Source organism: Homo sapiens, chromosome 1 (genome assembly GCF_000001405.40).
Source record: "Homo sapiens chromosome 1, GRCh38.p14 Primary Assembly".
NCBI classification, from domain to species: domain Eukaryota; kingdom Metazoa; phylum Chordata; class Mammalia; order Primates; family Hominidae; genus Homo; species Homo sapiens.
Window position 1 is genome coordinate 159,872,364 of NC_000001.11, and position 27,806 is coordinate 159,900,169.

At 46.2% G+C, this 27,806-nt stretch overlaps 1 protein-coding gene, 1 long non-coding RNA gene and 1 other non-coding gene across 4 annotated transcripts, besides 2 other annotated features; 1 reads left to right on the top strand and 2 right to left on the bottom strand.

Moving 5' to 3' along the window:
* Positions 1–27,802, bottom strand: CFAP45 (cilia and flagella associated protein 45). Its single transcript, NM_012337.3, has 12 exons — positions 27,733–27,802; positions 20,817–20,942; positions 18,117–18,259; positions 15,989–16,133; positions 15,478–15,648; positions 14,148–14,326; positions 12,073–12,202; positions 8,191–8,337; positions 4,986–5,099; positions 4,193–4,386; positions 581–805; positions 1–200 (listed from the first exon to the last, which is right to left on the bottom strand). The coding sequence occupies exons 1-12, from the start codon at positions 27,733–27,735 to the stop codon at positions 122–124; spliced, it is 1,656 nt and encodes a 551-aa protein (NP_036469.2). The 5' UTR covers positions 27,736–27,802; the 3' UTR covers positions 1–121.
* Positions 17,023–18,222: an enhancer, noted in NCBI's record as "CDK7 strongly-dependent group 2 enhancer chr1:159859176-159860375 (GRCh37/hg19 assembly coordinates)". NCBI's record gives its function as "activates an origin of replication core promoter dependent on BRD2, BRD4, P300/CBP, MED14 and CDK7 cofactors, with strong dependence on CDK7, by STARR-seq in HCT116 cells {active_cell/tissue: HCT116}" and the evidence as "EXISTENCE:reporter gene assay evidence [ECO:0000049][PMID:35650434]".
* Positions 17,426–17,545: an enhancer, noted in NCBI's record as "active region_1904". NCBI's record gives its function as "activates an Ori minimal core promoter by ATAC-STARR-seq in GM12878 lymphoblastoid cells {active_cell/tissue: GM12878}" and the evidence as "EXISTENCE:reporter gene assay evidence [ECO:0000049][PMID:35858748]".
* On the top strand, positions 17,849–20,863 carry LOC124904434 (uncharacterized). Of its 2 annotated transcripts, XR_007066678.1 has the most exons (3): positions 17,849–18,034; positions 19,984–20,138; positions 20,782–20,863. It is a non-coding gene; the product is annotated as an uncharacterized LOC124904434 (long non-coding RNA). The 2 variants fall into 2 exon arrangements; XR_007066677.1 differs by lacking the exon at positions 20,782–20,863 and having other exon boundaries at positions 19,984–20,372.
* Positions 27,616–27,716, bottom strand: MIR4259 (microRNA 4259). Its single transcript, NR_130464.1, has one exon. It is a non-coding gene; the product is annotated as a microRNA 4259 (primary transcript).
* Positions 27,803–27,806: the final 4 nt, after the last annotated feature.

A 27,806-nucleotide genomic window follows, 5' to 3' on the forward strand; every position in this document is an offset into this window, starting at 1 on the left:
TTAAAGTCAAGTAGATTTAATCTGTAACTATGAAATGTCTAGGTTAGCAGCAATTATGGATGCCCAGAGACTGGGCAGAATCTGTCCCCCGAAGGCATCCTGAGGGCCACGAAGGCTCCCCTCAGTTCACAGAGGTAGCTGGCAGGATGTTAGCTTTGCGCTCAGCTTCAATGCAGTACTTCTCGGGAAGGCCAGTGGCTCTGCCGGGGAAACGCAGGCAGGTATAAGGAAAGGTATTGGACCAGACAGGAGGTGGGAGGAAGCAGGCTCTGGGTGGGGTTTACAGAACCTGGGGGCCTGCACCCCCCAACCCTGCTCTCACAATCCACCCCCGAAACACACATTCATGCCAAGGCTCCAGCATCCTGCCAAGGAGCTCCCAGAGAGCCAGCAAGACCCCATCCCAGGACTTTCTGCTGGAGCCCCCTTCAGAGGGATGAGCCCTGGGTGGGGAGAAGAGCCTCTCCCTGAGCATCTCTGCCATGGCCCTTCACCCCCAAATCCCCATGCTTTCCAGCCTGTGGTGCCATCTCTTTGCGGGAGGGAAGAGGATTTGGGAAAGGAGGAGATTCCAGCGCACCTCAGCTCTTCAAGCTTTTTCCTCTTGATCTCATCGATGCGCTCACGGCGTTTCTGGGCCTCCTCTTTGAGGCGCCGGCCCTCCTCAAAGGTGGCAATCCGGTTCTGCACTTCCTTCTGCTGGTTCTCGCGCACCTGGCGCCGGAGCTCATTGGCATGCTGTAAGCGCCCTGTGGCCTTTTTCTCCTCCTCCAGCCGCTCCTTCTCAATCTGTTCTCTCTGAGCCCTGGGGGAGGGAAACAGGAATGGAATGAACTCAGCTGAGCTGGCCCAGGCCAGGAAAGGTGGTGGGGGAGCCTCCTGGGTGGGCTCCTTCAGTAGACATGCCTCAGAGACCACAGCCCTCTGGGCTCCAGCCCCATTTTGTAACTCAAGGATCAGCCCCCAAAAGCTGCTGCACATGCATGCCCCCTTCTCCTACCCAGCCAGGACTAGCTCCAGGGTCGCATGACTGTATGTCATGGGCATGCTTAGAAGGGCCCCCAGCTTGGTTTGATGCTCTGCTTTCACTGTTTTGAAATTCTTAATAATTTTTGAACAAGGGAGTCCACACTCTCTTGCTCTGTCACCCAGGCTGGAATGCAGTGGTGCTATCATAGCTCACCGCAGCCTCAACCACCTGGGCTCAAGTGATTCTCCCACCTCAGCCTCCCGAGTAGCTGGGACCACAAGAGAGTGCCACCACACCCAGCTAATTTTTTGTTTATTATTTGTAGAGATGAAGTCTCATTACATTGCCCAAGCTACACATTCTCAATATTCACTGGGCCCTGAAAATTATGCAACCAGTCTTACACCCAGGGTTTCACCCACTGGGAACTATTGTTCCTACTTCTCCCTGATAACAATGTATAACTCCTCTCCAGCTTATCCTGAGATTTCTTCTCCTTCCTTCCTTCCTTCCTTCCTTCCTTCCTTCTTCCTTGCTTCCTTCCTTCCTTTCCTGCCTCCCTCCCTCCCTCCCTCTATGCTTGGAAATGTAAAAGATGCATAAAGTGTCATGCTAGCTCCACCCTGGTTACTGGAAGGAAGGAGCTCAGCCTGATATCGCTCAGTTCTCTTCCTGATCCACCTCTCCAAATTTCCCTTAGAAACCTCTTCCACAAAAATACCTGATGGACCCTGACATCAGGGAGAAAATCACTAATGGCAACAGGAAAGGCTCAGAAAACACTCAAATGAAATGCATTCGCATCTCAGAAAAAAATGCATTTATAGGCCTTCTTAAGCTAACATCTAATTTTGTTCTCAACATAATTTAAAAAATGAAATGTAAAATCATCTTAGGCAGGAATTTCTCACCTGCTCTCCTCCCCTAGAGTCACCGATACCCCAACAAAAGGTACCTACAACACTGCTTCATTTCCTCATTTCCCTCTAGCTTTCTTCCAAGATCCACCATACATGCGGCATCCTCCCCACTCCCAGAAACTCTTTCCATCATGCAAACATCTCCTAAAATTCTGTGCCTTCTACAGAGACTTCCCAGTTTACCCGAAGAATACTGTTGGCTTCCTCAGCCCTCTGTATTTAGACACCAAATCCTGACTTCCCAGACACATCTCTGATAGCAGGGGGACTCTCCTCTTTGCCTTGCCATTGTTTTCCTATATTTAGAACAGTTTTCTATTGTTTCACCCTCTTCTGAGTGAAGGGGTAAGTGTGGAAAAGGGGGACTTGTATGTGTCACTAGAGAGCCCCGGTGGTGCCAGGCAGTTGAAAATCCAAATGAGGATGAACCTGGTCGTTCCATCGGGTTAGGGCAGTGATCACAGAGCCTAGCTACATTTTAGAATCACCTGGGAGCTTTTGAAACAGACTCATGCATGGGCCTAATCCCAGACCATTTAAATCACAATCTAGGAAGTGAAGCCTGGTCATCGTATTTTTCAAAAGCTCCAAGACATTTCTAAAAACCACTTGGTAGAGGAAGACAGCTATCTCTGCTTAGTCAACAGGCTGAGAAGTATGGACATCCCTCTGTCCAGAAACAAAAGTCCACATATAGGCCATAGAGGAGGCTGTGCTTTTGAGGCAGAGAAAGTTGGATTTGGGCTGTGGCAGAGATGCTTCTGAGTAAAGACACCAAACATGGTGGTCACATGGCCCTGGAGACACTAGGCCTAGATACTAACCTACAACAATAGGTGAAGTTGAACTTCTCCAAAAAGGCTGGTCTAGCTTTAATAACTGGCTAGTGCATATGCTTCAGGCAAATGATGCAAAGGAAAGATAAATGGGTCGGCAGCAAAAGTAGGACTTAAATTTCATTTCATTAATATTTATTAGTGCCTGTTAACAGCAACACAGATGTCCAAGGGCATAGAGGCCAGGGAGGAGAGAGGAGACATCTGGAAGGCAGTCTGTAGCCCAAGGGCAGAATCTTGGGGGGCATTTAGGAAGCTACTTTCTTCACTAGGTGTCCAGTGACCATGGCACAACCCTGGGGGCAGAGAAAATTACAGAGCCAAAGGGTATCATGGCAGGGGGGACATGCTGGGGCCTGCAGTCCAATAAAAGGCCAAAAATCTGGCTCTCGTAAGGATAGAGGCTCCCGAAGACCTGCTCTGCCTCTAACTAGGGGTCTGGGTAGCCTGGTCTGGCATGCCACTAACTACCCATTGCCAAGAGGAAGGACTTAGAGCATATGAACCAAGAAAGTGATGCTATACTGTTTAATCTCTACTTATCTGAGCATAATGTCTATAATTTTGTATCCCTTCAATTCGAATTTTGCTTGGCTTGTTTCCTTTTGAAAAATTCTAATGTTGTAGAGTCTGAACCAGAGCAAAAAGAGAGTCATTCCCAGTTAGACCAGGAGAACAGCCCCAGGGACCAGGTCTGACTGGTGGAAAACAGAGCAGAGAGGGAAACCAATGGGAGCTGTGACTGTTGACTGCTTTTGGGGAGGGAGCAGAACAGTGAGAGATGTGAACATTTAGCTTCCACTTATGTGTTGAAATTATCATTGAGCCAAAAGGGAAAACAAAAGTAAAAGGATAAATAGCTACCAAGGAAGAAAGATGGATTGATGTAGGTGCAGTCCATCCAAACACAAATCTCTAATACCTTTCCTGTGGAATGGGCAAGAGCAGTGTTTTGTTAATTGCTAATGTCCTCCATGGCATCCAGCACAGAGCCCTGCATTTCTGTGCTTAATATATATTTGTCAAATGAACGGCAAACAGCTCCCTTAAAGTCCTGCTCCAGTGACTCACAACCCTTAGTGTCTGAAGTTCTTTTCTCTATCTTTCCTAAACCACTCCTCTTGCAGTTTCATCCCCAATTTGCAGGGGCACATGGGTCAGAGGGCAGCAGAATGGACCAGAATTTTACCTTTATTTATACTTTTACTGTTCCAGGGTAAATAATCCCAGTCATCACCAATTCCTTAAGCAATTCCAGGTGCTATCTCCCAATTCTCTAATCACATAATTCTTGGCTCAAGTGATTTTTAAAAGTTTCAATCATCCATCTAGTTATAATGATCCCACCAACCCAGACAAGATCGACGAGCATCTGTTAACATGCCAGAAAGCTTCTCTCTATCCAATATGGACCATCCCTGCTACAGTACAAGGAAAGGAATCCAAGGTTCCCAGGCCCCTCCTACCGAAGAATCCTCTCGAACTCATCCCGGTCCCGTTGCACCTGAACAGCCAGAGCGTGCTCCTTGAAAGCCACCTGTTCGAGCCGACTTTTTCGCAGCTCAGCCTCTGTTTCCATCTTCTTCCGCGCATTTTCCTTTTCCTTTCTGCGCCACTCTCTGTCTGCAACCTCCTGGTTGCGCTTGGCCCGCAAGGCATCCTGGGAATGTTGGCAGGGGACCAGTGAGGGCACAAAATAGCTGGAAGTACAGACCAAGTGGCTTTAAGAAGATACCTACTTACAGACTCTGACAGTCTGCTTTGAAAAGCATCATGAATTTCTCTGGCAGCTAGTTATTCTAGGAAAAGATAAATGGAATCCTGTCATCAAACCTTTGGGTTAGAAGATAACCTGAGGGGTCATCTTGTCCTTCCAACCCACTCATCCCAGTTCTTTCCCTGTACCTCAGACATCTCCAGGCAGTCTTGAAATTGCTTCTAATTTTAAAAACTGCTAATGATGGAGATACCACAGGTTCCCCTGGTGACACATTTCATTGGTTGGTTAAGGTTGAAAGTTCTTCTTTATGGAGCAGCGAAAAACTTTCTCTTGAACCTTAAGCACAGGCTGCACTGCCCAATCCCTGCTGACACAGGCCCTGGGAGCAGGCCACCCCTTCCTTCTCAGACTACTGAAGTCTAGGTAACTTGCATCCTTTCCTCCGCATCTCCACCCTCAAGGCCATTCTACAGGCTGTCAAAGGGATGGATAGGCAAGGGAGTGGGAAAAGTAGAGGGAAGTCGAGACTAAGCAGGTACCTGTTCTGCCTGGTAATCCTGGGCCTTCTCCTGCATGGCCCTCAAGCGTGCGATCTCCTTCTCTTTCTCCCTCCGGATTCTCTCCTGCTCAGCCTCAAACTCTGCTTCTCGAGCCTGCCGGAAGGAAAGGCCTTGTAGAATAGTTGCCATTGCCCCAGCCTTGCAGAGAGAAACAAAACCCCTACAACAGACTTTCCAATATCTCCCCTACCACTTCCTGACTCCTTTTAAAATAGGACAAAATAAGGCCAGGTGCCGTGGCTCATGCCTATAATCCTAGCACTTTGGGAGGTTGAGGCAGGAGGACCACTTGAGCCCAGGAGTTCATGACCAGCCTAGGCCACAGAGAAAGACTCTGTCTCTACTAGAAATCTAAAAATTAGCCAGGCATGGTGGCATGTGCCTATAGTCCCAGCTACTCGGGAAGCTGAGATAGGAGGACTGCTTGAACCTGGGAAGTCGAGGATGCAGTGAATCATGATTGCATTACTGCATTCCCCTGGGCAACAGAGTAAGACCTTGTCTCAAAATAAATAAATAAATAAATAAATAAATAAGGTAAAATGAATTTAGCAATGCATGAATATAAAACAATTAGCATTTATAAAATGCTTTATTGTTTACAAAACACTTTCCTATGTGTTATCCTGGAGAGCCCTCACAACATTTCCTGAGACAGATATTATAGATGAGGAAACGGATGGTCAGAAAGATCAAGGGTCTTGCCCAAGATTGCACAGGAAGTAAACTACCTAACAGGATTTGAACACAGGTACCCTGACCCTGGCTTTCACACTCCTTCCACTATGTCATAGACAATTTTCAAGTTGCAAGGCTACTGGGCCAAGAAACAACTGGTCCTGTGCCTGTCTTGTAAAGTACAGCAGGTGGAGGTTATCTCATTAGTCCCTGGGCAAAGAGCCAACCATGCTTTGGGCAGTCCCACAGTGGTTACCAGATACTTAAAGAATGAACCACCAAAATTAGCTCCCTTTCCACCTCTCTGAAAAAACAGGTATATCCTTAAAAGCTTCCCAAGCCCGCTTCCCAACGCCATTCTTGAGCAATCGTAAGATGAATGGTGCAGGTTGGAGGCAAATGTGACATTTATAAAGAATCTTCCCGGCCAGGCATGGTGGCTCATGCCTGTAATCCCAGCACTTTGGGAGGCTGAGGCAGGCAGATCATGACGTAAAGAGATCAAACCAATCCAGGCCAACATGGTGAAACAGTGTCTATACTAAAAATACAAAAATTAGCTGAGCATGGTGGCGCATGCCTGTAGTCCCAGCTACTCGGGAGGCTGAGGCAGGAGAATCTCTTGAACCCGGAAGGCAGAGGTTGCTGCAGTGAGCTGAGATCGCACCACTGCACTCCAGCCTAGTGACAGAGCAAGACTACATCTAAAAAAAAAAAAAAAAAAAAAAAAAAAAACCTTCCTTGCCCTCATTCTACCTGCCCAGACTTCTGTGAAGCCCAGTGAGTTGTCCCTGTAAGTTGTACGGGGCTGTTGTCAAGCTGCTTCCTTTGTCCACCCTGCCCTAGATAACAGGACAGGGAACTCTGGGTGTTTCTACAACCAATTTCTGCTTTTAGCTCTGCAGGGGCAGCCCTGGCTGCAAGAATAGATACCACCGTGAGGTCGGTAAGGGCTTGTGATATACGTAGATACTTACGGTGGACTGTGGACATGCCCAAGTGCCTGATTCCGTGGCCAGTCTCCAGCCTCTCCCAGCTACACCTTGACAATGTCCTTTCCATGATAAAGACAAGATATACTCCTCTCTTGCTTAGAAATTCATGGCGACTCCTTATCATTCCACTCTTCCAGCTCCACTCAATGTCCAAGACACCCCAACAACTGCTCTTAGCTCTCTGTCATCTCACCACCCTCATTTCTTATTATATCCACTACCAACCCTCTGCTGCAGCCAGAAAATATGTGCACTAACTCCTACACAGAATTAGCTCATCATCCCCACCTTCATTCACTTGGGAAAATAGTGGTTGAGTTCCAATGGTACAGCATTATCCTAGGTATTTTCAGCCTAGTCTGACTGGACACATATTGAAGCATCCAGTATATTTTGAATCATCAGTGACCATTTCACAGGATTATTGTAAAGATTAAAAGAGATAACACGTGTAAAACACTTAGCACGGAGCCTATGCACAGACTAGGTGCTCACTAAATGATAGTTATGTGATTGTTATTATGTAGGAATCATCTATGTCCCCAAACCTGCATTCTCACTCTATTGCTTGCATAGAGTGTCCCCAGCATCCAATAAGAATACTAAAGCCAATAAGTGAGCTTCGCTGAGCTTCATTTTCTGTGGTTTGTATTCAGAACATATAGGTGTACCAAATATGCCATTCAAATTATACTCACACCCTCCCCCTGGCCTTCTTTAAAAATCACTACTATAGAGGAGCATAGAGAAGTACAATGTGTTTCTGTCATCATGGAATTTCAAAACTAGCAGGGCAGACAAGATCAACACATGAAGAATTTAATAACTTTCCTGCCACCTTGAGTACTTCCTCCTCTTTTTACATAAATCCATGTTCACTTTATCTATACCACTCTTAAAAGCCTTCTTCTACTCTCCAATCCCCGTAGATCCCAATCATTTTATTACTCAATTTTGCCCCAGAATGAGCTGACACATTCATGAGCTACATCCATCTGCAACTGTCTGCAGGTATGGCTCTCTCCTCCACTGTGCATTTGCTCTGTCATATAGGTTCTTTGGTGGGAGATGGGGGAAGACTATTTTCTGAGTCTAGCACCCAATACAGGATGTCCAATATAGGCATTTGCACAAGAAATTTATGTAACCGCTGACTCATGATTACCGGGGGTATAATTACGCAAGTCATGACAAATCCACAAAAAAACTCACTTTCACCAATAGTTTCAGTTTTCTTTTCTGCCTGCATATGGCCCTCATCCCAACTTCTAATCAAAGGTGTTAATGAGGTTAAAGCTAATTTGGTTGTCCTTTCTAGGCTGTCTCTGTTAACGAACAAGTGGACTGGCTAAGATGAAGAGACAAAGAAGCCAGGCCCTTGAACTAAGGATGTGCATCTTAGAATGAAGGTGCGGCTGCCTTCCACTGGAGTTCCCTTAGTTCTCAGGCCCTCCTCTCCCTGTGACAGACATTCCATTCCTAACCAAAGGTCCCAGAAACCAAGTCCCTACCATCTTCTTCTTGGTAAACTCCATCACCATCTGGTCTGCCAGCTTCTCCTGAGCCAGCAGTTCTGCTTTCTGTTTCTGGTTTTCATCATTGATGCGCTTAATCTCAGCTTGCATCTTCAGTTTTTGTTGCTGCCTTCGTTCCATGTCCTGCCAGCAAAAGAAAGAGAGCCTCAGAGTACAAAGAGGTAAGACAAGAAGCCACTGGCATCCAGGGATAGAGAGATGCAGACAGAGGAGGGGGCAAATGCATTGCCTGCAGTCTAGTGTCCACAACTATCCTTTGTTAAAGCTGTTTTTTCAAGGGTCATAAATACCCTCTTCAACCAAATGGCCTATTTACAGTCTTCATCCAACTTGACTTTGTGGCAGCCCCTGATGCTATTGATCTCTATATTTTCAGGAAGCAGAAGCTCTTAAAGTTCCATACAATTGCCTCTCACATGTTTTGCTAAATCCTACCCCTGTGGCTTTGCTCATGGTGCTTCTCCTGCCTTCAATGTTCCTCTCCCATTTAAACCTAACTTTCACTCTCCAGTCAATAGTGACGACTGAAATAATACATATTGCCTTAATTGAGTGCTTTCTATTTCTTGAGCACTGTACACAGACTATCTCTAATACCTAAATATGTCCAAAAATCCTAAAAGGTAGGTAGGCCTTGTTATCTCTCTTGCTCCAATAAAGAAACTGAGGCCCAGCATTGAAGTGACTTCCCCACCGGCCACACAGCTTATAATCTCCAGAGCTAAAATTTTGAAACCTGTTCTGTCTAAATTAAAGTATCAACCTTCTCTGGAAATCTTGCTTGATTGCCTCAACTTTCAATTCTCTCTCCATTTCTAAATTCTCTCTGCACTTAAGGTGGCGACACACCTCTTGCAAGGTGATCATACACTGCCTTGCAGGTCCCCACTCATTTCATATGTGTTCGCTCTGCCCCAGTTACAGGACAAGGGACCTTGTGTCACACATCCTCTCTTCCCCAACAACATGTAGCCCAATGCAAGGAAAATAGCAAATATTCGATAAACCATTGATAAATGAGGCAGGAAAGGTAGGACCAAAGTGAGAGGCATGTGAGAAAGGAAAGAAAAAAAGTTCTTAGACACAGGGAAACATTTGACGGAGATCAGAGTACCAATGTGAACAAGGTCGTTTTTAAGGAAGGATCCCCCTGCCTTTCCCAGACCTGAGCCTTCAACAGCTCTCAATGATCAGACCACTTCTGAGCCAAGCACATTCTCAGGTGCAGAGGGGCATCGGAATTAGGGGAACAGCTGGCCCCCCAATCACCTCCAATCAATCTCAGACTCCTTAAGTTCTTCTATTGATTAACTCACCCCACCTCCCACACTGTTTCCAGCTCCCTCCATTTCTCCAAAGACTAAATCCCTCCCTGGCCTTCCAGGTCTTCCTCAGCCCAGCTGCTGCCCTGATTCATCTAACCAAGGTAACTCTCCCTGTGTGTCTTCCTGTAGTGCTGGCTCTCTGCCAGCTTGGCTCACTGCCCAGTTCAAGGCTTCTTCCTTCAGGAAGGCTTCTGAACCAGAGCGGTATGGCAACTCTCTGCCTCTGAGGTCCATGTGGTGCGTGAGTCACAGACATTCCCTCTCTCTCTCACCATACTCATTTCTTTGCTCACTCCACTTTTCCCTTTCTGCCCCTCCAACTCTCTCGCTCCTTTTCCCCCTTCTCCCTTTCTTCCTTTCCTTCCTAACTGCTTCTCACTGATTTTAGGCCTGCTATTTGTATCCCAGACATCATTTAATCTCACTGGCCCTCAAAGCTAAAGATGCTGTTGATTTCTGATGTATGACATACATACAATCATGTATTTATTTACTTCTTTCCCTATTTATTTACTTTTTGGATTGTTGTTTTTGTTGGCTCATTTCAATTCCAAGACACCAAAGGACTTTCCCTGTTTCTTTTGAAGCCCTTCCAAAGCAACCCCAGATAAATTCCCTTCACTCTTTCCCCCTTTGTTAGCAAGGTGGGAAACGCTGCCCTTCGTACCACCATGAGATGATACAGTAGGTCTAAAGCTGGGAAGGCACAGGTTTCCTTGCTAAAGTTGCCCAATAATACTTCCTGGAGACTCAGGGAGTGCCTGTTAGAAGGACATTAAAAGGATAATGACACAACATCAACATAATGGTGCTGACTCATGGACTCCTAGAACTTCCTCAGTGAGCCCACTAATTCCCACTCCCCACATCTAGTTGGATTTTCCTGCCCTCACTTCTCACCCACTACCTTGCATATTTGCCCCATAACTTTCCTTCTTGGCCCTTTCCCACTCTCTCTCCCCTGAGCCAGGAAATGGAGTAACTTGGCCAGGTCTCTCATTGCCTTCACCCTGCTATTCTCCTTCTCATGCAGTTCACAGAGCTGTGTGCCCCTTCAGTTTCCCAACTACCCAGGTGATCTTCATTGCACTTCTCTAGCAGCTCCTCACACTGCAGATGTGATGAGAAGGCTTCATAATTACAAGTCTGCCCACCTGCAGCACTCTTCACGTCCCCCTGTCACTCACCACCATCAAATGCACTAGCTGATGACAACTTGACAATTCATAAACACAGGGGAGGGAGAGAATCGTAAAAGAATACGTGTTCCACAAGTTAAATGGCACCATGAGGAGGCAATCATACAAATTCAGAATGTGAGATATTCTTAAAGGCAACTGGCCTAGATGCTTCAAAATATCAGTGTTATAAAAATGAATGAAGAACTGAATGAATGAATGAATGAATGAATGGGGGAACTCTTCTAGATCAAAACAAACTAAAGAGACTCAACGGAATGCAATGTGCAAACCTTGATTAACGTCTAGTTTGGAAACAAGAGAGCCAGAAATACATATTTGGAACAATTGGGGAATGTGAATGTGGATTAACTATTAGATGATATTATGGAATCACTGAATTCAAGTTTTTGATGGAGGAGGTGATAATGGTATTGTTGACATGTAAGAGAGTGTCCATGTTCTTCAGAGCTGCAGGCTGAAGCATTTAGTGGCAGAGTGTCAAGATATCTGCAACTTACTTTCAAATAGTTTAACAATAAAATATATATATATATATATATATATATATATACACACACACCTAGAAAGAAACAAGCAACTAAGGTAAATGATTAACAATCATTAAATCTAGGTGAAGAGTTGATGGGTGTGATACAATTTTTTCAACTTTTCTGTGTGTGCAAAATTTTTCAAAATAAAAAATTGAGGAAAAAAATAAATTATCCAAGTGCCTGCCATGTCCCTCACTGTGCTAAAGGGTTTTATACATTGTTACAGCCCAGAGAAGGCATACAGAAGATGACTTTTTAAGTCTTCTTAGTTTGGGCAGGTATGTTGTCATTTCTTTTGCAATAAATATGCTTACTAATTTTATTTGGACTAACAGGAAGAAAAGGTTTGGCTTCACAACACAGTTAATGGCAATGGGATGCTATGTACTTTGAGTGAAGTAACAGCAGGGAGTCTGGAACTAAGATATTGCTACTGTTCATCTACAAAGTATATAATATCCCTAGGTGATTGAAGGAAGACTATAAAACATCCCTATGTTTACTTGTGCAAAGCATGCAGCCATATATTTCCTTTATGTGTCTATTCACAGTGATATGTCAGTCTTGGACCTCAAGTCCTTGGAAGGAAGGGACAATATCTATCCAAATCACTGCTCATCCCGCAGCGTGACACCATGGTGAAATAAATATTTAACATGGCAATAAAAAGTTGACGGTGATGATGTTGTGAAATGAGCATGTGCCTGGCAGAAAATCAGTCAACACCCTGAAACCCCAGAGTCTTGAAGGGTTTTGATGCTGCAGCTGGTGAAACGTGGCATTGTCTGTCTGGCCTGTTACCTTTAGATCTTCCTCTTGGAGCTGTTCCATATATTCCAGCATCTGCTCCTTCTCCTGCTCCCGCTGCTCAGCAAGCAGCGATCGCTCCTCCTGGTTCTTTTCCATCTGTTCCACAATTTGCCGCCTTCCTCTTGGAGAGAACAGTGCCACAGTGTCTTAGAAACCCCGGGTCCACATCTCCCAGAGTCCAACCTCCACCTAAACAACCCCCAAGATGGGTGGTGTCACCGAAACAATTTGACAAGTGCCCCCTAAACATGAATATGCTTCATGAGCCCAGACCAAAGTCCCTCCCCCAGGAAGGACCTCAAGGGTTGGCCTCCTTTCTCCTGAGCTCCTGGTTCCAGGGCTCACTCTTCCTGAGATTCTCCTTCTTTATTTGTTTGTCCAAGAGGGGTACCCCACTTGATAAAACACCTTCTACCTTCCAGTATATAAAGAGTTTCTGAAATCCTACCACCTCCCAATTCTTCCCAGAGTAATCATAGGAAGCTAGCTGAATAGTAAAAAGCCAAACAAACAAACAAACAAACAAACCCAGGGTGTACAAGCAATGTTGTCAGTGATTCCCTATGTGTTAGTGGGATGTCAATAAACTTGGAAGCATAGACCCCATGACATATGAGTAAAGGCTGGAAGAACGGGAGAAGACACATATTAGGATCAGAATTGAGGGGAAAGAGTATGAGAGCCACATTCAGATGGAGTGCTCGAATGGCTTCATGACTCCAGATGAAGTAAACAGGAGTAAAGAGTAAAAGGGTTACATGAAAACAAGTTTGGGCTCAATACAAGGACCAGCTCAAATCATTACAGTTGCCTAACAAGACAGAGTTTTCCTTTGCTGGAGCTGTTTATGCAGAAGATGGACAGCCACTTAGCCACTCAGTAACCTTTCACTGGGAACCTACTATAGTATACCAGGTACCTACCAGAAGTACAGAGGTGAATGTACCAGGTATAGTACACAAGACACAGAGATGAATGGTTCCAGAGAACAGGATACAGTTGGGGAGATAAAACTGCCATTCAGTGTGGTACAAAGATTATTTATAAAGGTAATTCATGTATTGTATGGTTGGCGTTCTAAATCTAGGACACTATTATTCTATAATTTACTTGCTCTGGGACTTGTCCTTTTCTGCACAAAATGAAGGGGAGACTGAATTTATTCATCCCAACATGAATTAAGCACCTATTACAGGCCAAACACTCTGCTAGGCTCAGAAGCTACAGAACTGGATACGAAAGGACCTGTCCGCAATGAGCGTAGCATCTAGGAGGGTCAGAAAGCCACAGCACAAGAGTGGGATGCTGGAGCATAAACACAGAGTGATGGGCACAGAGAAGGGAGCCACTAAGCCTGCCTAGTGACATGAGGGAGGTGACAGCAAAGCTATATATAAAGGGAAGGAGACAGCATTTTCCAGGAGGAAAAGGAAAGAAAAGGGTATTCAAAAAAGAGAAAACAAAAAAAAATTAAGAACTTGTCACAAGGCCTGGCATGTTGGGGGCCTGGGAAAAAGCACAGAGTAGATGGCAGGTAGGGGTGAGAAACGAGATTGATTGCAGCCAGACTGTGAAGTGCCTCCTAGGATTTGGGAAATAAGCTTCTAAAAATTCTGTGATTCTGGCCGGGCTCACGCCTGTAATCCCAGCACTTTGGGAGGCTGAGGCCGGGGGATCACTTGAGGTCAGGAGTTTGAGACCAGCCTGGCCAACATGGTGAAACCCCATCTCTTCTAAATACAAAAATTAGCCGGGTGTGGATGTGCATGCCTGTAATCCCAGCTACTTGGGAAGCTGAAGCAGGAGAATCGCTTGAACCCGGGAGGTGGAGGTTACAGTGAGCCGAGATTATGCCACTGCACTCCAGAGCCTGGGCGACAGAGTGAGACTCCCTCTAAAAAAAAAAAAAAGTTCTGTGATTCTATGTATCACTTCGTAAAGTTTTGAGATAATAAGTAGATGACAATAATGACCATTTCTCATCTCTTCCCTCTTTGCTAGGCTACATGGACCTAAAGATACATGGAAATAGCTTAGAGAGGGAGATGCCAAAACCACATCTTTACCTAATTCTTTCCTCCCTCCTCTTCCTCTCCAGTTCCTCCTGCCTTTGAATGGATTTCTGCCGCTCCACTTCCATCATCTGATCCAACCGCTTCTCTTCTGTGTCCAGTTCTTTTTGGATCTGCTGCTTCTCCAGGATTTGGGCATCCCGGATGGCATGGCACTTAGCATTGAGGATAATCTGGAGAGTGGAGATTAAACTGTAGCACTAGGCCTAGGGATGTGTAAGTTTAAGGGGAAGAAATGGAAACAGAATGCTATACTGCTGAGCATGCTGGAGGTGTGCATGACTGCTCACAAGTCCGGGGAAATAAGAATGTTCTTATATTTACCTTTCCCCTTAATATAGTTTAGCTCAAAGATTTACTGGCCTCCTGCTAGGTGCCAGGGTCTGTGCAAGGAGGGGCCTGGAATAGCATCTTTCAGGGAGCTACATCTTAGGGTTTTGGTGGTAATGGGTCACCCTTTGGAAATATGATGAAAGCAACGGCCCTCTCCTCCATAAAACTCACTTATACATGTACACACAAAATTTCTATAAAACTTCAGAGGTCCATTGTTCCACTTAGAGACCCATGAACTCCAGGTTGGACCCCTTGTTCTCCTCAGGGGAGCTAAGACACTCTTGCAGAGGCCAGGCCACAAGATTTTTAAGCTGGAAGAGCCCAACATGACACAAAAGGGATGAAAAACCACGGGCCCATGAATAAGAACCCAAAAGTAAAACCTTTAGAAAATTAAAGGAGGCATACATAGAGAAGATTTACCTGAGAGACAGAAATCAGAGGTGCAGGGATTGGGGAATCAGCACTTTTCATTTGGTAAGGAAGTGAACCACATGCAAATGAGTTACAACAGAATTCAAATGAGCCTCTGGTCTTTAGGCTCTCAGCCAAAGGAAAAGCTTTGGGTACTCCAAAAGCATCCAATTGCCTCGACCACCATACGTGGCCAGAACTGAACTAACAGGATGAAAATAAAAGTAACACTGCACATTTAATTTACCAATCCTCAGCCCACAAAGCCTCTCCCATCTACTACCTTATTTCATCCTGCCAATGATTCCACAAAGTAGTTTTACCACCCTCAAGTTACAAATGAAGAAAGTGAGGCTCAGGGAGGGCAAGTGACTTGCCCATGGTCACACAGCGAACAGGTGGCAGAGCCAGTCCTCACTGTGATCACTGCAACTACCACAGCAGGTGCAGCTCTCCCCCGCCCCACCCCTGCCCACACCCCCACCAGTCCCTGGCCTTGTCCAGTGCGGGAATAAGGGGAGGGCGGAGGGATGGCAGTGAATGCTCAGAGGGAAGGGAGAGACGAAGAGCCCACCTTGCTCATGTCCTTGAGCTCCTCCTCCTGCTCCATCCGCAGCTTGTTGGCTCTCTGCAGGAGGTTCTGGGCCCGTTCCTTGGCCACCTCCTCCAGGTCACTGAGCTTCTTGTTGTTGTTCCACACCATCTCCTTCTGTTTCATGATCTTCTTTCGTGTCATCACTGCATCCTAAGGGAGACCAGTCTGGCTCAGTGGGAGATTATTTCATGCGCTCTGTGCCCTGGGCGCTAGCCTGGCTACCACAGGTGACCCAGTACAATTTTGCCTTGGCCAGTGATGATGTCAGAGCCAAGAAGTTCCACAGCCTGGCTTCATTCTCAGCCCTCCCCTTGGCCCCGGCTGCTCCCACCTCTCATCTCAGGTATTGCTCTTTGGTCTCCTTTCTGTAATATTTCTTCATTAAGTACATAATTTGTGCCTCATTTCAGGGTCCCCTGATGAGAGTTCCCCAGTGCATTTTGATTCTGCCACCCATCTGCAGAGGTGAAGGCTTAGGGAGGTTAACTACCATGGTGGCTTCCTTCTCCTTCTTGAAGGCCTGGTCCCTGGCCTCAAGTTCTTCTCTGGTCAGGACATGGGATGCCCATTTGATTCGCTCAAACTCCTCAGGGCTGATGATTAGGGACTCCCCGGAGGGATCCTCTGTGGGAACACTGTCACAAGAATAAACAGAGTTAGGGAGGGGAGAGGGAAAGCTCTCAGCACCACACTTCAGGCTTCTCTGCTCTCTTCCCCTCTTCCCATCATGCCAGTGGACTCCCCCAATGGCAGAAGAGACGGCAAGTGTGCCATGGGTCCACTGGGGAGTAGATGTTCCAAGTGGGGGGTCAGGTAGCATTGAAGGCTAAAAAGAGACATTTTAAGTCCTTTTTCTATTAGGTCCTGCTCATATGTTACCTTCTCTGTGCAGCTGAGACCCCCCATCATGTCCACATGTGCCCACTCTGCCCCCCCACCAAGGACCAATAGATCACCTCCTCCTCTGAGCCCACACTGCACTCTGTTCTTACTGCCTGTATCACAGCCAATTGGGCAGCTCTGTTTCCTTTATGAGCTCCTTCAGGACACAAACTCTGTCTTAACCACACTGGTAGCCTAGTCTCTGGCATAGCGCTTGGTACAGAGTGAGAATTCAAAACAAAGCTGTTGAATTAAATTTTAAAAACAGATTATTCCTCAAGGATGACATAAAAACGGCAAGGGGACGCCAGACAAGGTTGATATAGATGCTAGTTAGAAACCTAAGCTTCCCTGCCCATCCAGCCTAGAGAGAAGCTTTGAACTGTAAATATTAATTAAAATCTGTGATCAACAATAGCCAGAGACATGTCTATAGACCTCTCCTTTCTAGCTATCCAACGCATTCAACAAACCAATCGCTAATTATAATGATTACAAGCAAATGACATATATTAAAGATGGGGGAGGGAGTAGTTAGGGGGGTGGGAAGAAAGCTGCTTCTGGGTGAGGCAGGTACATGCCAATTTGACAGGTACATGCCAATAAGACACAGACATCTGAGACAGGAAGTGAAACCTCATCTAATAAAACTAATGTGTGTGTGTTGGGGGAGGGTGGTCCAGGAGATGGACAGAATGAGTGAGTAGATTTGCAGCTTAGCCAAGATCTTGTGTTTCACAAAGCAACGTGGCCCTAAACAGCCTAGGATCTGGAGTGACCAGCAGTGATCCGAATCTAAGACAGCAGTTTATACTGCTTTCAGCATCCCTGAAAAATAACCAGCCACTTGTCCTCCAACGTGTTTTCAGGACTAGATGGCTCCAAGAAGGAACCCTTCCTCCCTTCCTCTGGCTCCAGGAGTGGCTGCAGGGCTCTAGCCACATCTGGCCACTTGATGCCACGGCTGACCAGACATGCTCAGTAAGGGGCCGCAGTCCGACACAGCTCCCGGGGTGTGTGCTAGATGTGCCTCTCCAGCTTGTGACACAGGTAGGATTTTCTGGGAATTAGGGCTTTTAGTGGGTGGAGCCAGGGCAGGGAGAACGGTTGTAGAGGGTGAAGCACTAACACAAGAGTTAAACCACTGAGCACAGTGTTGGCTCATGGCACATGGTTGAGCTAGGCCTAAGTCCCACAGGATGGGCTCAAGCCTGGGGGCAGCTCTAGTCAGGAAGTGGGGTTGAGCTAATCCCAAAGGAACCCAGGGAGCCCCTGTGAATTTCTTCCTATGGCCTTAGAGTCTGGGAGGAAGCCAGGGGGCTAATTAGGCATCTGGTCAGTTTCCCTTTGCTTCAGATTCTTAATGCAGCCGAAAGGAAGTGACTCATCTGGATCACTTCCCTTTAGGGAGGGTACTAATGGGGACTTAGAGAGGACTCACTAAGCACCTCCTCTCTACCAGTCCCTTAGCTCACACAGCCAGCTAGAAGTAAGGAAGGACAATGAAGCTGAGAATAAAGGACAGTGGCAATAATAGATACAACAATGGGAGAAACAAGAGAGGCCAGGATGGAGAAGAAAGAAAGAACTATCAAACAAAAAGGGGAAAACGAATAGGAAAGAAGTGGGGATTGGACTGACAGAATGAAACCAGGTGGGTTTACCCATCTCCCTACAAAGATCCTTAGCAAAAGGATGAGGACTGGACATAGAAGGGCAGGGGACGGTGTACTCACATGAGTTCTCGGACCATGTCCCGGGTGATGAGCTGGATGGTCTCTGGCTTGCGATCCAAGCCCAAAGCAGTGAGAGTTTTTTGAAGGGTATGCTTATCTCGGAGCAGCACAATGGGGCTGTCGCTCTGGCCCTGGGCTGGGGACTATGAGTTCAGAAAGAATAGCTTAGAAGCTTGTCACCCCCACTTCCTGCTGGTCAGTCCTAACTTCAAGGATAGAGCAGCGTGATGCCCTGTATCTGAGCATGGCTGGATGTGTACCGACCAGCTTTTCTTTTCTTTTTTTTTTTTTTTTTTTGAGACAGAGTCTTGCTCTGTCACCCAGGCTGGAGTGCAGTGGCACGATCTTGGCTCACTACAACCGCCACCTCCCGGGTTCAAGCAATTCTCCTCCCTCAGCCTCCTGAGTAGCTGGGATTACAGGCGACCACCACCATGCCTGGCTAATTTTTGTATTTTTAGTAGAGTCGGGGTTTCTCCATGTTGGCCAGGCTGGTCTCAATCTCCTGACCTCAGATGATCCGCCCGCCTGGGCCTCCCAAAGTGCTGGGATTACAGGCGTGAGCCACCATGCCCAGCCCTGACCAGCTTTTCTGAAAACAAGTCTCTTGTTCTTATACAGATATTCCTCGCAGAATGGTAGGGATAACAAGGAGTGGGGGTCACTAGTGTGTGTCTATACTTAGTCTAAAATCATCAGGAATTAAAGTAAATTTCTGTTCTCTAGGTTTTCCTCTCTCCATGAAAGATTTTCCTTTATGAAAGAAGAAATAATTATCTCTCTAGGACCACACAGTGGGTTTGAAGCAATATAATTTGTTACAGACTCTTACAATCTTTGATATTGGTAATTTTAAATTCTTTCTTACGATTAAATTACTTTAACCCCCACAAAAAGCCATATTCAGGGAGTTAGAAATCGCTAAATGACCTGCAGAGGCCTACCCTTAAGATCTAAGGGTAGCTCTCTGCCAGCTCATTGAGTTGGTGGTGAGGAGGTCAGTGAGTTAGAATTCAGCAAGAACACAGACTAACTGTGTGATTTTTTCTTTTTTTCAAAATTCTCCGACCCTGAAGGAGTTAGATAACAATTAAATGAAATCACCTGTTTCAGAAAATGTCTAAACACAGGAAAGGATGTGTCATTAATGCAGCCACTGTGCTCCTGACCAGAGGCAGGGGGATGGCCCCACTTGTCCTACCTCACTTTGCACCCACAGTCCCCTGTGTGCTGCTGCCACCTGGTGCCCATCTCTGCTTTCACGTGGGCACAACTCAGTCGTGCCACAGGCCACTTCTGCCCTCTACTGCCCATTGAGAGACTTCCTGAACTCTTACCCATCAATGAGGCCAAAGAAACTGGACAAGAGACAAGCATTTTTCTGATAGCCCCCTTTTGCCAGCCAGCATGACTACTCCTGGAGAACTCAGCCAATTCCAAATCTCTCTTTGCTTTGACTAGAAAACTCCACATGTACCCAAAACAACAACAACAATACAAATGTCTGTAAGTGAAATTGCATTTTGGCCAGGTGGGGAGACTTACGCCTGTAATCCCAGCACTTTGGGAGGTCGAGGTGGGCAGATTGCTTGAGCTTAGGAGTTCAAGACCAGCATGGGGAACATGATGAAACCCTGTCTTTACAAAAAATACAAAAATTAGCCAGGTGCAGTGGTGTGCACCTGTAGTCCCAGCTACTTGGGAGGCTGAGGCAGGAGAATCACTTGAGCCTGGGAAGTGGAGGTGGCAGTGAGCCGAGACTGTACCATTGCACTCCAGCTCCAGCCTGGGTGACAGGAGTGAAACCCTATCTTTAAAAAAATAATAAAAAATAAATGCATCTGTTGATCCTTTCCCTTACCAACAGGAAAACTGCTGCAGAGTGAGAGTCTTCTAAATGGATTAAGAAGCCTATCTCAATCCCTCTGGAGAGTCCTCTTCAATTCACAATGAAGATGTTGAAGAGCAGGGACAGACATCAACACTCCTCTCCCCACCTTCCCCACTGGCAGAGGCATTCAGGTCACTACTAGTGTCTCTCTTTCTCTTTTCCCCTTCTCTTAATCTCTCACTGCCCTTCTCTCCATGTCATATTCTCTTTTTCTCCTTCCCTCTCTTCCTTCTTACCTACTAAACTCCATATGTACCAAAATCAGTCAAAGCTCTACTATCTAGCTCTCTTTATCTAGACTAAAGGAGTTGTCCACCTCTTGGTCTAGATAACACTTGCAAATAAAGACCTGCTCGTTTCCCAAAGCTAAGTAATTGTTTTAGTTGAGCAACTGGGAAAGGAGGATGGTTTTGTGTTGTACTCTGATGCTATTATCCTTGGATGGAGCGGGGAAGATGTTGCTATTGTCTGCAAGCTTAGCCCATCAGCCCTGCAATGTTTCCATCATGGAGCTCAACTGAGCAACTATTGCACTCTCTGCAGCTGAGCCTCCCTTTTGACATTATAACAGATTTTAAACACTGTGAAGACATGAGAGATTCTAGGGTGGAAGAAGCTAGGTGTCCCTGTTTACATAGGCCCCACTAGATCCCAAAGCTCTGCAGCTCAGGTCTCAGAATTCCCCTTTGTCTTCAGTCTGAGAGTTACCTACGAGAGCAAGGTTACTCAGCAGAAGCTTTGCCCTGAGCTACATTTTTGGGCCTCTGCCTGCAGGTGGCATCAACTTGAAAGGACTTGTTGAGGATTACCTTGATATCTCCAAAGAGGCTCTCATCCACCTCAGAGCTCACGGCTTTGGTCCGATAGCGAGCCTTATTCCTTGACCTGTTGGAAGCGGCAGAAGAGGAGCTCAGGATGCCAGCTGTGCTTAGTGGCTGCAGGAAGAGGCAGAAAGTTTGGGTCATCAGTACTGAGTGGCATCCAGACCCTGGGAAGTCAACAATTCACCAGCCCATGCTGGGGGAGTGGGTGGGCATGTGAAAAAGAAACAGTTAGGGAAAGCGGCTGTGTAAACTCTGAACCATAGGGGACAAGGAGCAACAGATGGAGGGCATCCCCACAGAGCAGGGAAGGGTCTCTGCAAAAAAAAGAGCTCTGCATAAAGCAGCATTTGTGTAAAACAGTTGATCTCATAGAAGTACAGAGTAGAATGGTGGTTACCAGAGGCTGAAGAGAGGAAGGGGAGGGGCATGGGGAGAGGTTGGTCAGTGAGTGCGCAGTTACAGTTAGATAGGAGGAATAAGTTCTGGTGCTCTATTGCACAGAAAGGCCACTATAGTTAATAATAATGTACTGTATATCTCAAAAGAGATACACAATATCTAGGAGAGGATTTTGAGAAATATAAATGTTATAAGATTAAATGAGATGGCAAGGTCTAGTATTTGATAGCGCAATAGAATGACTAGAGTTAACAATAATGTATATTACTATATATAAATGTATATTAATATACATGTATACAATAATATATATAAATATACATGTATACAATGTATATTAATTTACATTGTATATTTCAAACTAGCTAGAAGAGAGAATTTTGAGTGATCTCACTGCAAAGAAATGACAAGTGTTTGAGGTAATGGATATGCTAACTACCCTGATTCAATCATTACACAATGTATATACATGTATCAAAACATCACACTATACCCCATAAATGTGTACAATCATTATGTGTCAATTAAAAACAAAACTGTTTTGTTTTTTGTGGGGTTTTTTTAAGAGCATTTCTGTAGTCCCTGAAGCTGAAGGCCAAGTCGGCCACATAGTATGGAAGTAAGGATAAAGGAAGCAGGAATGGCAGGAGGAGAGAAGCAACAGTTTCTCATTATCTGCCTAGTACCAGTTTCCCAAGAGGACAATCTCTTGTGGGGCAACTTGGGCTTGCCCCCTGAGACACGCACAGTGTCCCCTTTGCCTCCAATCTTTTCAGCTTGTGCTTCAAGTCTTTCTCACAAATGACGCTACTGTTTGACCTCCTTCGTGTCTCCACAATCTTACAAGGTTATGGTGGGACCACAGGATATAAAGGATGGAAAAGTGCCTCACCCACTGCTTGGCATGTGGTTGATGCCCAATAAACTTGAGGCAGTGGGTGAATGATAAATGATTACTAGCTATAATCAAGCAAACCAGTTCATAATACCCACTATTTGGCTGTTTCTCTCCCAAGACCCTTTTAGTGTGCCTTAGTCATTTTTTAACCCCCTACTAACTTCCTATTTTGGCAAATTCCCCATCTAATGAGTTGTGGGAGATAGTGCTCTTCTCCAACTACAGAAGCTGAAAACATCAAATATTCACCTCAGCCTGGCCAAGGGACCTAGGCTTAGCCAATGAGATGGCCCTGGACTGACAATGACTAGGGAACTAGTGGACCAAAAGGCAGAACAAGGAAAACCTTTCTGACCCAAACAGAACTGGCAGCCAGACCCAGCGTCTGGGCAACACTGATAACGATACCAGCAGCGGCACCCTATGTAAGGAATTGGCAGTTTTGGGGGTGCAACAGTGCATCAGGGTCCTTGCCAGACCAGTTCTAGGTTTTGATTTTGGTCTTGGTTCCAGCTGCAGAAACTTCTTTTGTTCCTATTTGTGAGCTCTCCAAAACCCTCTTAACACATTCTCTTTTACTTAAATTGGAATTCTGGCTCTGTTGCTTGTAACTAAGAATCTGACGAACACAACCTCCATTCCCAAAGGACAGGCAGCTTCATCTCAGTCCCAAGAGTAGACGTCTATCTCTAAAAGGTAGTGTCTACAAGGACTACTGGATGACTCCAGGCTTATGATAAAGCTGATTCAAACCTCACTTTGGAGGAGCCCACATGCCCCACACCTCTCTAAACTGGGCTACCTTGAAGGAATAGGCCAGGCACATTGGGTCTCCCCAAGCCTGGGAATCAGCAGCTGATAAAGGAACAGGGTAGACAGGGAAATATACCATGCTTTCCAGGTCCCTAAGCCCTGGACAGTGTTCTGAAAGCTCTCTCTGATCTGCCATTACCAACCAGACACCCCAGCACCTGTTACTCCTGTATCAGGTTTTCACACTCGATTGGACAATTATTTTCCAGCTGTCTCTGTGCTGTACATTGAACAATGCTATATGTGCATTTCCCTCACTGCCCGGCACAGCCAGCAAAAGGCTTACACAGGGAGTCTCCCTCTACAGCGTCAGCCAGCCCCAATACTGTAGAGCAGAAAAGCTTGGATTTATTAAAAGGTAAATATAGCAGCCCCAAGGATGCCTAATAACAGCCTCTGAAGGGTTATTATATGGTAGGTGGTGAGCTACGGCTCCCCTTTCCACCAAAAATAGAATAAGAGGAAATGAATAGAAACTTCAGTAGGTGGGATTGAGGCTAAGCATTGGGAATAACTGGAAAAGGTGGATGGCTTTGGATCATGAGTTTTGTATGTAATTAAGGGAAAAGGTGCAGTGCCTGGCACATGTAGTAGGAACAATATAGCAATGTGCATTTGATGAAGAATGAATAAAACCGAACAAGGTGACCTCTCAAGGACAGGACTGCAGACCAGATTGAGATGGATACTTTTCCGGAATACAACTGCCTGACTCCAAGTCACTCCACCATTCCATGTTTTCCAGATCACGTATGTGGTCTCCACTGTGGATAATAACGTATGTGAAAGGGCTTTGGAATACAGATGGAAAGTATTATTGTTTTCCATTTGTTTTCCTGTCTGTTTTCAAGGACTCCAACAGGTTTTCCCTTGTGCTGAAGTGTCCGCCAGACTGCAGGTTCCTCCAGGGCTGAGCCTGCATCTCCTGTTTCCTATGCCCTTGGTACCCAGGTCAAGAGGAAGTCACAGCAAGGACTGCCTGAGCCAGAACAGAGGAAGAAAAACAGATGACCACAGAAAAGTGGCCACTGAGCAGGACAGAGGGAAGCTCTGAACTCTAGGGTTGGGTGGTTGAGAAAACCTCATTGGGGAAATGCTGACTTTGAAGCCGCAGCCTTACACCAGGGTTAGAATAAACAGTTTTGCCAAGAGTAACAAGGATTAGAGAGGTCACTGTGTAAACATACTAGAAAAAAATGAAGAATCAAGCACAAATGTAAAGCTGGATCCCTCTGGGCCAGAGGCAATAGCGAAGAAGTTCTTTAAGGAGGTGACGGGCTGGTTTTCTTCTTTGCATGACCAAATAAATATTGCCAAGAAGCTGAACAGTGCCTAAGGAGAAGCACATCCAGTCCTGCTTGCAGGAAGATAACTCTTGAAGGGAAGGCAGCTGAGAAGGCAGGGGGTCTGGGGAAGATGAGGACTGGGGACAGATAAAGATGCCAGCCCTGCTTTGATATTTTCGTCTTGGTGACTCAGCTGACTCCCCCTCTCTTCATAAGCCATCCAACTCCTGGAGCACAAGAATTCAGCCACAGCTAGGAGCTCTATGAGAGACTCTGATGCAGAAAGATTTGCTGATCAAACAAATGATAATTTTGACTTACAGTCATTGATATAGGATGATCTCCATAACTTGTTAAGTTGTAAAGAAAACAGACTGTAAGAAACGCATAAGGCTGGGTGCAGTAGCTCATGCCTGTAATCTCAGCACTTTGGGAGGCCAAGGTGGGTGGATCCATCGAACTCAGGAGTTCAAGACCAGCCTGGGCAACATGGCAAAACCCCATCTCTACAAAAAATATGAAAATTAGCCAGGCACGGTGGCGTACACCTATAGTCCCAGCTACTTGGGAGGCTGAGGCGGAAGGATTGCTTGATCCCGGGAGGCAGAGGTTGCAGTGAGCCAAGGTTGAGCCACTGCACTCCAGCCTGGGTGACAGAGCAAGACACTGTCTCAAAAAATAATAATAATAAAGAAATACATAAGTATTCTTGGCCAGGCATGGTGGCTCACGCCTGTAATCCCAGCACTTTGGGAGGCCAAAGTGGGTGGATCACCTGAGGTCAGGAATTTGAGACCAGCCTGTCCAACATGGTGAAACTCGTCTCTACAAAAAATACAAAAATTAGCTGGGCATGGTGGCACACGCCTGTAGTCCCAGCTACTCAGGAGGCTGAGGCAGGAGAATCGCTTGAACCTGGGAGGTGGAGGTTGCAGTGAGCTGAGATCACGCCACTGCACTCCAGCCTAGGCGACAGAGCAAGACTCCATCTCAAAAAGAAAAAGAAATGTAGAAGTACTCTTGTAAAGATGTTTGTATGGCAGGTATGTGCCCAGAATGTATTACTGAAAGCATGTTCAAAAAAATGTTTAACAGTATGTCAGGAACCTTTACCATCTTAAGATGTTTCTTTATTGAATAATTTCCTGCAATGAGTAGATACCAATTTTATGACCAGAAAAAAAAAACAATAAAACAATTTTTATTTGAAAACAAAGCATAGCAATGGGCCTGGTGCCCGAACTCTGAAAGCAAGAGAGTACAGACCTAAAAAAGAAAACAAACAAACAAACAAACAAAAAAACCATAGCATTATATATTCTGGGATCCAGAATGTTTCACTCAAATTCAGCAAGACAAAGCTGGAATGGGGCTAGAATAGGTCAGTGTGAAGTTTCCCTGATGTAACTTCAACACCTGTCAACTAAACAGGTTGACATGTTCAGGAAAGATATGTCTTTTCCTAGATGTCTTACCCATTCTGAGATCTAGTTCTTCTTTTGCACAGTCTCCGCAGGCTGGCAAATTCAGGCTTCAAACTCTTGGCCTGGTTCTACTTCCCTTTCTGTAGACTTTGGTTACCAAGAAAGGGAGATTCCCATGCACGAGACCCCTTGCCTTTTACTCTGAGTGATCCACGCAATTATCCTCTTTCTTCAATTGGGACCAAGTTGGCCATCTGTAGGATGCCACCAGAAGATAACATCCTAGTCAGTACTGAGGTCCCCATCTCTCCTTCTGCAGGATTTTAATCATTATTTTTGTAAGAGTTCTGGAAGTCTGCCTAATTGTGACCCTCACCACCACTACTATCTCTTCTCATGCCTTTAAATATTCTCCAAACCTAGTGAGTAGCACTATACGTACACGAACACACACAGCTGGCCTGCCAGAGATCACTAACTTAGACCCACTGCTTCTCAAAGGTGTCTATATGCCCAGTCCTGTCCCAGGAATTACAGAGGGGCTCAGTGAGTGAGTCAAACCCCTGCCCTGAGTGGCTCCTGGATGGGGAATCCCTGATCTGGGTGCTCTGAAGCCCACAGGTCTTGCCCAGGTGCAACTTATGCCCTATGAGAGCTTGGAAATAGGAAATTTTTAAAAGAGGACAAAAGGGGAACTAACATTTACCATATGCCCTTAGACACCAGGCATGACAGTAGGTGTTCACATACATACATACGCCACTGTGTTTGTAAGGTGCTGAGAGAAGATGGGACACTGAATCAAATAGAATACATAAGTGAAAGGGGACGCTCCCCCACCCCAATTACAACACTGCAGGGAGTCCTCGAAAGTCAGGAACTGCTCTTTGTTGGAGACTTATTTAATAATTAACAAAATTCTTCTGAGGTCCACTGAGCCCCAGAAAAGCAATGCAGCCCCTGGGCCTGAAGTCTGTCCACAAGTACATCCAAGTAGCAACCTTTGCCACCTGTTGTGCCCCAGACATTCTAGGTCAGTTCCAATAACCCAAGACTCCAACACTTATCATCTGCCCTTCCCCTCCCCTCTGGGACCAACACACTCAAGCCCAGGCATCCCCTTCATGGTTCCTCCCAGGCTTTGCTGGCCTTCTCAGCCCTCAGTACCCTGACAGCCCTCCCCATCCCAGCAAACCCCAGGCTGCCAGTCCTGTCCCAATCTCTCTCCCGGGCCTTGCAAACCTGAGACCCTCCTCACTCACTCACTCATTTATTCATTCATTCATTCACTGCCAAATATTTATTGACTAACTACTGAGGGATACAAAGCCCTGCTAACAGAAGAAAAACCTGAGGCTCGGGCACATTAGATGACTTACCCACAGTCACCTTGCTAGTTAGTGGCAAAACAGGTACCACGACCCATTATCTGGCCTCCTCACCAGTGCTTTTTTTTTTTTTTTTTTTTTTTGAGACGGAGTCTCGCTGTGTCGCCCAGGCTGGAGTGCAGTGGCGCGATCTCGGCTCACTGCAAGCTCCGCCTCCCGGGTTCACGCCATTCTCCTGCCTCAGCCTCCCGAGTAGCTGGGACTACAGGCGCCCGCCACCACGCCCGGCTAATTTTTTGTATTTTTAGTAGAGGCGGGGTTTCACTGTGTTAGCCAGGATGGTCTCGATCTCCTGACCTCATGATCCGCCCGCCTCTGCCTCCCAAAGTGCTGGGATTACAGGCGTAAGCCACCGCGCCCGGCCCACCAGTGCTTTTTCCCACACCACATCCACAATCTTTGGTCCACAGAGGCCCCGCTGTAATGGCAACGGGGAGAGGGTTGGGGCATCCCTTTCTCCCCAACTCCTCCGCTCAGCGCGCTCCACATTTCCAATCGTTATCGATGCTATCCCTAATTCCTCTTTTGAACCCACCTCAGGATCTCCCTTGCTTCTTCTAGAGGTGTTCTCCTTACTCCTGGGCCCTCCTGACCCCTAGACCCAACTGTGACCTCCCCTAGGCCCCCACTTTCCCCACTCAGAGCCCCCACCCAATTCAGGACACAAGGGGCCCATCTGAGGTTCTCCCTCACCATCTCCTCAGCCACACGCCCTGACTCCGGACTTCTGCTGCCGCCTCGGCGCCGCCAAGGCCCTAGTGTTGACG